Here is a 12033-nt window from a genome sequence, read left to right as displayed (position 1 = left end):
GTACAGACTAACATGGGGTGACTCGCTTCATGCAATGTCTTTGGCTGAACACATTGTGGACAAACTGGTCCTCCTAAAGTGAATATTATCTTACATGCACTTAGGCAGGCATCAATTAAAAGACTCCATTGGCTAATCTTTGGTCAAGGTTTGAAAACATCTGTTTCCTTGATCCATCTGGTATAGGTGACTTTTCTAATAGATGTTTTGATTGAAGAGGGAATCTAATATACTCATTAAGTGGGAATTAATCAGCTTCCTCATGCCTGGATGGTCGTAAAATGCCTTTGCACCCTTCCCCTCTTCTAGCCCACATTCTTTCTTGTGTCATCACTTAAACAAATCAACTTTAAGTTTATGTCAACTGAGTCAGGAAAGGGACACGGTGTGATCTGGATGCCTGTGATTATTCTAAAGGTGAAGGCGCAACTGCCAGCTGTGTGTGCAGCCCCCACAGAGACAATGTGGTCTCAGAGTTCCTGCAGAAGCTCAACCCCCAGGGTATTTGCTGAGGCTTCAACACACAGGTGGATAAGACAAGAAACCTGCTGTCAGCTGAAGAGGTCAGATTAAGAGAACAGTAACTTCCAGAACGGTTTACAGGAGCCTGAGCTGAGCACACAATGCCTTTCATTAGATATCCCTGAGGATGTCTGCAACCGCCTCTCCGCCCACCCCCACAGCCTGGAAGGAATGTCTCACTCACATTGGACAAACCTTGTGATTCCCCAACAGTGTCAAACCTTCTCCTGTGTCTCACGGGATTTCCCCTGTCTGGAATGCCCCTCCTTAATTTATCTAGGGGTTCTCAATGAGAGGTGACTGTGTTCTCCATGGGACATTTGGTAATGTCTGGAGATGTTTATGGTTGTCACGACTGGTAGGGGGCGGAAGGATGGTGGTGCTGCTGGTGTCCAGAGGGCAGAGGCCAGGAATGCTGCTAAACATCCTACAACGTGCAGGGCAGTCCTCACAGCAAAGGATTATTCAGCCCCAAATGTCTCTAGTGTCCAGAATGTAAATCTCTAGCTAACATGCTACTTGTCCTCCAAGACTCAGCAAGAAGCAACACTTGCTCAAGAAAGCCTTCCTGCATTCCCCCTGGGCTCCCAGGCCTAGTAGGGAGTTGGGCCCCAGGGTAAATGTTTGAGAATGACCATAGGAATGAACACAGGCTTCCATGCCGTCTTCACTTTCTCTCCTGGACTTTCACCTGCCCAAGTCAGTTCCTGGCTAGTGGGCATGGGGAGCTCTTTGCAAAGAAACCTCTGGCCAGTCCCTTCCAGCCTCAGTTTCCCCACCTGTAAAAAAGGAGCACAGACCCTTACAGTGCTGACCCGATTCTGCCCCATGCTCCCTCCCCTCTGAGGTGACAGCTGCTCACTTCATAATCGCCTCAGCATCAACAGCTGAAGTGCAGAGAGAAACCGAGATTAACTCCACTCCAGCAAAACCGTGGGAGACGGAGAACCTTGTTAGAGAGATGACATGAAAGCCTCTGTTTAATTAATCCCCAGAGCAGAGGCTTCTCCGGGCTGCTGATTTGTACCCTCCAGCTGCCTCTTATTTCTGGTCACCTCACATCCTCCTGCACCCCCCAGCTGGCCGAATCGACCCAGACAGCTCCACTTCAGAGAGCAGGAGCCAGGGAGGCGCTGGCTGGGGCACCAGGCTGCCATGTGACCTTGGACAAGTCTCTTTACCTTCATGGGCCTCAGTTTATCTATCGTCCAATGGGGATAATAATGCTCAGGCTGAGTGTTATCATCTATCATGAGAAAGAAGATGCAGCTGGTATTCTGGGACCCTATTAAATATCAGGCCTTTTATCTACATTCTTACATTGTTCCTCATGCTGATTCTCCATCCTATAGAGGAGGAGACCGGGTCTTGGAGGTGTTGATGAATGCATGTGGTCCCATGGTGGTGGAATTGGGATGTGAGCAGTTTGCCCAGCTCCAAGAACCATGTTCTCTCCCATGACACTGGCCTCGTGATCTATACTGCCTATGGAAGACCTCTGGGAACTGGAGCTGCTATCCACACACAAGCCTTTCTCAGAATCACCATCGCACTGCACACTGTCATCCTTCATTAACGGCTAAAGCAGATGGGGGTGATGATATCCTGGAGGAGAGGAAAGTGAAAGAGCCGTGAGCTGGAGGTGGGATTTGAGCTGGGCCTTGGAGGGTGGGCCGGAGAGGAGCAAGGAGGGCGCTCCAGGCAGAAGGAAAGACAAGCCCAAAGGCACAGCAGCTGGAGTGGGTGTGGAGGATGCAGGTGCTCGTGAGAAGGGCACCCCAACCAAGGTAGGGACCAGATGGGAAACGATGGCCATGGGGCTGCAGAAATTGGCTTGTTGGAGGAATAGGCTGTCCTCTCCAACCTCTGTTCATGAAGAGCAGCTCTCAGATCCCTCATTCACACTCTGGGTCAATGATAAAAACTAGCAAAAAAAAAAAAAAAAAATTGAAAAGTAGAACCCTTGGAGATAATTAGCATTTTAATTGGAATCAGTGCTTCAGGCTAAAGGGAAGATGCTTTAATGGTAGAATTTCAGGCAGCAGCTGGCAGGTCCGGTAGGATCTGGGACGCTATTACACCATGCGGGGATCCGCCAGTCCACCCTTTTCCTTCTCCCCCACTTTTCCATTCAATTAACCTCACTGGGTACCTTCTCTACACCAGGCCTTGTGGTAGGGGCTTTACCTATAGGATCTCGTTTAATTCTCAGAACTAACTCCAAGTGTTTTCTATCCCCTTCTTCTCTCAGGCTGGCCAGGGTTTGTTGAAGTAACTTGCCCAGTGTCCCACAGCTCTTACTGACAGGGCTGATATTAATCTTCAGACCCACTCAACCCCCTGTCTGGTGCTCTTCCAATGACAACTCTTGGCCTGATGGAAAGAACAAAGGGGGACTCTATCTCCGCTCCCCAGACCCCAGTTGTGTGTCTGTGTTGGTAAGAGTAAATGTGAGGCTGGGTGTGGTGGCTCAAGCCTGTAATCCCAGCATTTTGGGAGGCGGAGGTGAGCAGATCACTTGAGGTCAGGAGTTCAAGACCAGCCTGGCCAACATGGTGAAACCCCGTCTTTACTAAAAATACAAAAATTAGCCGGGTGTGGTCACATGTGCCTATAATCCCAGCTACTTGGGAGGCTGAGGCAGCAGAGTCACTTGAACCTGGGAGGTACAGGTTGCAGTGAGCCCAGATCATGCCACTGCACTCCAGCCTGGGCAAGAAGAGTGAAACTCCATCTCAAAAAAAAAAAAAAAAAAAGAAAGAAAAAGGAAAAAAAAAAATGAATGCCTGCTGGCCTGGAGATCCAAGAGGGGCTCCAAAAAGTTTATTTCCAGCTAATTTAAGGTTCTCAATTTAAGAACTATATATTGTTAAAAGTATTAACCATTTCATATGAAAATCATTCTAAAACGTTGAGCTTTCCTGTTCTAACAAGCAGCAATTAGGGAGTCCTGGGTGCTATTTATTTTTTCTTTAAAATATTATTTTAAAAAACAGAAATGAGGTCTCACTCTGTCACCCACACTTGAGTGCAGTGGCGCAATCACAGCTCACTGCAGCCTCAAACTCCAGGGCTCAAGTGATCCTCCTCCCTGAGCCTCTGAGCGCTGAGACCACAGGTGTGAGCACCTACACACCAACTAACTGGGTGCTGTTCTATAGTAAAGGAATCCTCTGGGTACCTAGAGTTGAAGACTGCTTGGCCTTTATAGTTTTTCTATTTTGGCCTACTTGGGTGCATAAAATCCCATCACCTGCCTGCCTAATTTGTTCCACTTTTCCAGGGGAAAGAGAAGGTGAAAAAAGACTTGGAGAGGGGTAAAGTAGTGAAAAGCTGGCTGTGTTGGGTTACATGGAAGCAGGCTTTCAACAGTCTCCAAAACAACAGTGGGGGAAATCACACATTTGCTCATAAAACCATAAAGGAGGAGGTGCTTATGCTTTTTACCATTTGGAGCCCGTCTCAAGACACCAAGTGCCCAGCAAGAGGCCAAGCCCCCAGCAAGAGGCCCTGCCTGAGTCCTGCCCATGCTGATCTCCTCGCTGCCCAGAGAACACCCTCCTTGCCCGATGCCCCCAGGCTCTCCCTCTGGTGCAGGCTCGGAGGGGCTCTCGAGGGAGGGGCTGCTCACCCCAGCTAGGGGCAGGCCCAGGCCCCAAGCTGAGCCCAGCTCCCACCCCTCCCAGGGCTTTGCCACTGGAGCCCAGTGAGAAGCAGGAGTGTAGGGGCAGGTCCAAGAACATCCTTCTCCACAGCTTCCCTAGCCAGGAGCTCCAGGACCAGCCTGGCTTGGCTCTCATTCTGTTTCTCAGATTGGTTCTCAGCCACGGGCCCTCCTGTGAGTTTCCTGCCATCTCTCCAGCAAGGACCCTGCCTCATCCAGTCCCAAGCTGTTCTGTGGTTTGCAACTCAAGGACTGCTCCTGGGCAGCATGCTGTGTGTCCTTCACTGCCGCTCTGGCTGCCTTCATTCCCTGACACCTGAGTGATGGCCTTCAGAGACCCTCCTTTCCTGATCTGCACTTCTAATGGACATGGGGTGACCAACCCCTTGGGATAAGCCCCTGGGGGCAAGGGCCTAGTATGTCTGCCTGAGCACCCCCACAGGCAGCAGAGGCTTCCCTCTGTCAGTATCGACCGCCCTGGCTCGGGGAGCTCCTCACTAAGAGAACTGAGGTTTGAAATAGCAGTCCCAGCGGGACCCTTTGATCCGGAGCCTAAGTGCAATTTACAGGAAATGTTAAATAGCCTTTTATCTTTACAACAGGAAGCTGGGTTGTGGCCGAGGGTCCCACATGTGAGGATGCCAGGCTGGTTTGGAACATAAGCCCTGCCTAGAAGATGAGACACATGGTGGGCTGAGGGTCAGCAATGCTGGGAGCCGGCCTTGGCCTCACGCTTGCATTTGTTTATTTCTTTATTTAGTAGGCATTTTTTGAGCTCTCGTTATGTGCAGGTCAAATGCTAAGCATATTTAGATGTGCCTAGATATAGAGACACATTTAGAAAGAACGTATCTTCACAACTGCAGGCTCCCGGAGGTGAGGGCTGGGGTCTCAGCCAGGATCTGAGTGAAACTGCAGAGTGGCTGCCCCTTCCTGGTGTGCCCCTCCACTTCAACCACAAGATGCTCTGAAATTTCATGGCCCATTGGCTCCGTCACACTCCCCAATGCTGGCAACCCAAGCCACTCCTGAAACGCTCAACTCAGAGTTAGCAAAAAAAAAACAAAAAACAAAAAACAAAAAACACGTTTTCTCCTTTTTCTTTACCTCCCATCTGCCCCGGTTCCATCCTCAATGCCAGAAATGGGCCTGGTATATTGTCCCACTCCCTGCATGGGAAAAGAGGGATGGGGAGGACAGCAAGAGAGAGTTGCATTTGAAAAGAGAAGTTTTGTAGGGCCAATGTTCAATCCAAAGGGATGACCGACCAATATGAAGCTGCTAGGCTCCACAGTCCATTTTCAGATTGAATGATGCGGAAGGAGTGGTGTCTTTCCCTGTGCTCAAGTCTGCACCACCCTGAGACCTGGGCAACAGGAGCCAGGGCCACCTCTGGCCACACCGCACCTTGGCGGTAAGGGGTCCATAGGATCCATGGGTAAAAGGGGAGCCAGGGCCACCTCTGGCCACTCTGCACCCTGTGGGGAAGGAGTCCACAGGATATACAGATAAAGGGGAAGTAAAGATCATCATTGCACTGCATAGAAGTGCACTAGGGAAGGGGACCACGAATCCATGGGTAAGGGGGCCCTGCTCACTCCAAGCTGATGGCTTTTCCTTCTAGATCACAAGCTGGAGTCCAGGACCCCCAAATCATGCTTCCTGGGCCTGAGCGAGTCTTCTTCTATATCTGTCTCCCTGAGGTCTGACCACACCACCAATGACTGCAGGCCCTGGGCCCAAGGGGTGGCTCGAGGGGTGGTTGTTTGTCAGGGGAGATGGACTATAGATGGGAATATCCACAGGCATGAAAGTGGGGTGGAGCCAGCATGGGCTGGGATGTCTACTTACCTTCTTGCTCCTGGCCCTGTAAATGTTAGAGGGCTCCAGTCCTGATGCAAAGTACAGGGGCATAACGAAAAGTGCCATCATGTCTGCGCTGTCATCAATGCTTACTGTGGTTATCAATTCACTAAAACAGACTCTCTCCAGCCTAAAATTAATTTTTTTTGAATAAAAGTAGCTTTTTGAGATGGGGGACTTAAATATATACTGAGGGCTGGTCCTGTGTGGGTGCTGGCCTCACAGAGCTTGCTGCTGCTCAGGAAAGATGGGTGTGAGTGAGAAATGCCATTTAAAGGAGATGCAGGATTGCTGTCAGGGGACCTCAACTAGTGTGAGTGATCAGGAAAGCTTTCCTGAGGAAGGGATGTAAGGTTACAGATGGGGAAACTGAGGCTCAAAGGTGCTAAGTACATTAAGCTGAGTGGCTGTGGTGATTAGATGTCAATCTTACCAACTCTGGGAATGATGCCTTTTCAAGTATGAGCGGGGACACCACACACAGGCCTGTCTGTACATAACTGTCAACAATGTATACCCATCATTAGATTTTGGCATATCCTCTGCACATATGCACACACACACACACACACACAAACACAAACACACACTTGCTTCCAGTCTGAGTTTGGTGACAAGTCTGAATGGCAAAGAGACACTGGGCCCTGCCCTCAAGCCATTTGGAAGAAAACTGGAACCACCAGCCAGTTACAATACGTCCTCTGCACGGAGCTTTGAAATCTGAGGCTGGTCTCAGCCAGCCTTTTCCTGCCTTGTGGTTTTTCTCCCCTGGGTCTCCCTGGGGAACCAGGCCCTGCTGTGAGGCTGGATTTGATCAAAGCCCCCATAAACCTGAGCTGAAGCCACAACTCCCCGCATTATTAAAGTGTTTAATAACTTTCCAGGACTCCTCCCTCCCAAAGACCCTGAAAGGCCTCTTGTTCCTATTCACTCTCTGCCTTTTAATGGGAGGAGAAGAGGGGCGGTGGATGGATTTGATTTCCCTCACCGAGTTCACAATCATAATCGCCATGTTGGTAATTTCCATGTTCTGGAAACCTCCTTACAGTATAACAAATGCCCTCATTACCGTGTTTGCCGCCCTTAATGCAGTTTTAAACACGCTGCTCCATTTCAGTCAACCCGCTACGTGGCAAATAAGTTGCTGTTGGAGCTTCCTGTGTGCAAAACAGGTCTCCGGCCTGCTGGGATGCAGAGATTTCAATCTTATCTGGCAAGCAGAGTAATTTGAAATTTAATCATTTTTTCCCCAAGCGAGAATGCCTTATTATTACTTTTTAGAGAAAAGAAGAGACCTGGAAATCACTCTCCAAAATTTGGGGGTGGAGGTGGAGAGAGACTGTACCTGAACTCATGGCCACATCATCAGGGATCACTGAGGCTTCTCATCCAGGCATGGGGCAAGTTCTTGGGTGAATCCCTGTGGCCCTTTCGGCTGCAGGGCTGGAGCAGGCAGAGTTGCCCAGGGCAGAGCCAGTGGGGGCAGGCAGGTCAGGAAGCCGGTGGGCATGCCCTGCAAGGCCTCTCCCCCTACGGACTCTCCCCTCAGCCAGTCTTCCTTGTGCTCAGAATTCCACAGGGAAGAATTTTTTTTCTCCCTTGTTGAAGGCAATCATCTTGAAAAGATACTACAGCATGCCAGGGTTAGCCACCAGGGTCTCGGGGATATCATCCACTTCCCCGACTCATCAAGGAAGTCTGCTTTCACTGCAGCCTGCAACGGAGTGAGAGAAGCAAGAAGAATGCAGGAAGTTTTTGATAAAACCAAATTACGTTTGTGGATCAGAAAGATCAGGAAGAATTTTCCTTAGACGGGCTTCCTGCTCATTACATTCAAACCTGGTAGGGGAGAAACAAGGTTGGAATGTAGTGAGCAGGAAGCTTGTCTAAGGAAAATTCTTGCTGTCATCAGCTATGTATACTTCTAAGTGGGGGATCTGGTTCTCATCGCTGTCTGGCCAAAAAAAAATTCTTTCCTATCTGGAATACACTCCATAATCCTTTGCATGCAATTATGAACGCACGATACATTGACAGCTCATATAGGAAGAGAATCTGATAGACGGTTTCCCAAATTTGGCATCAGTCTTAAAAATTGCATTACCTAAGAGCAATGAGTTATGAAGCTGACAGAAAAGTTCTCCAAATGATCAATAATATAAAATAAAATGCCATGGCCAATCCCAAAAGGAAGACAGAACGGGCCTTCTATTCTCTCTATTTAAAGAAACACAAAATTATTGACATAAGAAGAGAAGAATCAAAGACTATGCAGTCAAAAATACAAGAAAAAAGTGTCTTAATGGCATATCAGTGAACACAATGAAATATAGTGAGGTTTTTTTTTCCTGGATTTTGTCACGTTTGTGTTTTCACCAGCTTTTTAAAATGTGATTTGTGATGTGTTGTGATTTCTTACTCTAATACTCAGTCTCATGTCTAATTTTCTTTTTGGCATTTGACGTTCTTTTTCTTAAAGAGCATCCCAACCAAACCTGGATGCAGTCTAGGCAGAGCAGCTGGGGCCTGCTGAGAGCCTGGATGTGGGTGGGAGAGAAGGGTCGTCAAGGACAACTCCAAGGTTATGTCTTTCCAATATTCAGATAGTAAAAAAGAATCCCCTTATTTATAGAACAATGGGAATAATGAGGTTTTGAAAATGACCTTACTTGGCAAAGGAAACAGTTGGCCTCTTATGCTGGTGTCCCATTATATTGCATTTTGAATGTCACTGATCTGTGAAATCCCAGGTCAGAGCCGGGCAATGCAATGACTGAGCAGGATTCCTGGGCAATGAGTCCTACGAAGTGTCACTGGGCGGGAGGGCTGAGGAACAGAGTTAGGCTCTAAGAAGGGACACAGACTTGGCTGAGTCAGCTGAGCCTTGGAGGGGCCCAGGGCGCAGAGCTAGGAGAGAGTAAGGACTGTTTCCTAAGGGCTGGCCCTGCCTGCGTCTGGTCTCCTCTTTTACAATCGCCAGCTTGGCTTTGTCCTAGCAGCCTGACTCACATATAGATGCTACCTGCTCACACCTTAGTCCCCTTGCCACACCTGCTCCCCTCCAGGCTCCAAACTGGTTGTGGTTCACTCTAAGGGTTTTAATTCTCAGATTGTGTCTCCATTTCGCCTGAATGCCATCTCTTTGGACTCCTCGGCATCTTTGCAGACAGGCAGGGTGGTGTCTCGCTCGCCTCCAGTGCTCTTTATCATCCTAAGTCTCACCCTGGCTGGTGCTGATTCAGGGCACCACCTGGCCCAGGTCACTTGCCCCCTCTGAGCACTGACAGATGACAGCATATGGCAAAGGCATACGAAACTCTCTGCCCCCTCTCCCCAGCCAACGTGAGGTCAAACCACGACCACCTTGGAGGACAAATTCATCCTATTTAAAATCATCGCCAGTTCCACTGAATTCTTTCTGCCCCCCAGGTATGTGGGCAGCTGCCCAAAGATGCTTACTGACCCTCCACCAGTGCCATGCAGTAGATTAATCTGGAACAGTGGCATTGCTAATGTGGTGGTGGGAACACCACAGGTCCTTCAGCACATGCCCTTGTTCAACCTCAGCAAAACAGCCCTCCAGTCCTTGAGCCCTTCCTGTACAAGGAGGAAGTGAACTGAAATTAAATAATTAAAGATTGACAGCAAATACTTCCATGATGCTATTTATGTGCCAGGCTGTTCCAAGTACTGAAAATAAATAAACAGCTTCCTTACCCCTCACATCAACACTGTGATATCCCATTCTGCAGAGGAACCCTGAGAATCGCTCTCATGTACTGAAAATTTACTCTGTTCTGGGCTTGCTAATAAATACTTTCTGTCTGTGCTAACAGGAATCTGAGTCCTTAAGTGCAGATGTATAAGAAACACACTTCTTTATTCCCGTCATCTTAAATCTGAGTCTGTGGTTCAACATTCCAGTGTGGTGAGGAGTTTTATCAGTTATTCTTGCCATCCCATCCCTTATCCCCTCCCCACTAGGGAACTTTAGGTTCCTGCATCTCATGTGTTTCCAGAACTGAAGGAGGGGCCTTGGAGGCAGGCCATCAGGTACTGTTCTGGGTGAGCTCCTAAGATCCCCGGGCTCCCAGCCATTCCCCACCTCTAGGCTGCATGAAGGGCATGGGGTCTTCACTAGGCAGGCAGCTGCCAAGCAAGCGCCAGCCTCCTCGAGTCTTCCCAGGACCATACCTTCTGGAGTTGTGCCATGGTGGAGCTGGGTGAGAACACTCACTGCCTGGGGACCCACCCACTGAAGTCTAATCCCTGCATGGGCCAACTCCACTCTTTTTCCTCTTGAGGATCTCAAAAGCATGCCCTTCTCATTGTTCCTTGCAGGGCACCCAGAGTACCTACTGTAAGGTTGGAAACACAAGTCAAGAGAAACCAAATTTAACACGTGATGATAATGTTATACAAAGCCTGTGTGGCGCTTTCTCATTCTAACCCTCACAGCAGCCCTGCAAGGGGGGTATGCTTCTTATCCCCACTTCAAGGATGAGAAAACCGAGGCTTAATGCTGGTAAAACACAGGCCCCAAAGTCTTACAACTCCTTACGTGTGCAGCAGGAAGTGAATCCAGGTCCGTCTTAATCACACCTCAACGACTCTTCCAGTTTCTATCTTTTGAAAACTACTGAGTCTAACACTGAAAAAACCCCAGGAGCAGGCGTCCCCTCCCCTGCTCTGGCCGGGTCATCCATCAGTGCTCCCCTCTGGGGTCTGCACTGGGCCTGCTTGGGCTATTTTCTGTCCCATTCAGCAGCACAGCTTCCCCTCCCTTCCTCCTCCCAGAAAGAATTGCATCAAAGACTCAAATCCTCTGATTCCACCCAAGAAGAGGATTAGCTGGGCCCTGTCCCAGAACTCTTATGAGAAGATCCCCTCCCATGTGGGGGATGACCACCCCACTAGGGAACCAAGATGTGGGGTGGGACCATGCGGGTGCTCAGGGGAAGGCAACCAGTGAGGATGGGGTGCCTCGAATGGGGAGCTAAGCTGCGGAGGTGGCAGCCAGCCCCCAGGAGCTCCCAGGCTGTGAGTGGCCCTCCCTTCTAATATTTTCTTTGTGATTACAAAGCAGAGTTTCCATGAGTCTGGCAGTTGGAGGGGCTGGGTTTGGCAACAGAGACCCCACTGCCTAATTAAATGGAAGGTGCAGGGAACAGGATAAAGAGATGTGTCCCCCCGCCATGGAGGTGGCTGCCTCCCTTCCTGTGTTACAGCTGGACTCTGCCAGGATGTTTTCGTGAGCTCAGACACCTGTTTTAATTTAGGTGCAAGCCAAGGGGATGCAGCGATGGTGAAGGAGGCTGGCCAAGACAATCCTGGGAGTCCATATTTACCCCCAGCTCCCTCCCCAGTATCCAATGGCTGCAGAGAGTGGGCTTGTCTGGAAAGGGAAGGCCTATTGCAGGAGGGGAAAGGAGGGCTGCTCTGAGCTCAGGTTTGCAATGAGGACTTTTTCAGGGCTGGAATTGTAGGCTGAAATTTTACATCCTCTGGATAAAAATTTATTTTACCAGGAGAAAAATGGAGAAACAAGCCTGCAGAAGGGAAGGGTCTCTCCCAGGTTACAGGGCACTTTCATGGCAGAGTTGGGACCTCAAGATCAGGGTCCTGCCTGTATCCCCTGAGAGTCCACATTCAGTTGGGGGGCAGTGGAGAGGGGATAAACTGAAAGAATGTGGGTGCTGCTGGAGAAACTGAGGGGTGAGGAGAGGATGGGAGGAAGGGCTTTGAATTCAAGAGGACAAAGGGATGGCAGAGAGGCCAGGAAACCAAAGACAGGGTCGCTCCCACCACAGAGGCCCGTCATGCTCAGCTTTGTGCCCTGAGGAGGGAGGTTTGAGGTAGGAGAAACCCTGGGGAGACTATGAGGAGGTCAGTGACTGAAAGGGGCGGTCCTCAATGAGTCAGGCCGAATGCTGGTGGGCTCTGAGACCTAAGAAGCCCAGGCTCATCCCTCCCTTTCGCAGGCG

General features: G+C 49.6%; 1 annotated feature.

Annotated features, from left to right (window-relative positions):
* Positions 8428-9627: an enhancer, noted in NCBI's record as "MED14-independent group 3 enhancer chr15:70145330-70146529 (GRCh37/hg19 assembly coordinates)". NCBI's record gives its function as "activates an origin of replication core promoter dependent on BRD2, BRD4, P300/CBP and CDK7 cofactors, and independent of MED14, by STARR-seq in HCT116 cells {active_cell/tissue: HCT116}" and the evidence as "EXISTENCE:reporter gene assay evidence [ECO:0000049][PMID:35650434]".

This window comes from Homo sapiens, chromosome 15, assembly GCF_000001405.40.
Source record: "Homo sapiens chromosome 15, GRCh38.p14 Primary Assembly".
Lineage (NCBI taxonomy): Eukaryota > Metazoa > Chordata > Mammalia > Primates > Hominidae > Homo > Homo sapiens.
Note: the sequence above shows the minus strand (reverse complement) of the source record. Positions and strands in the feature narration are given on the sequence as shown.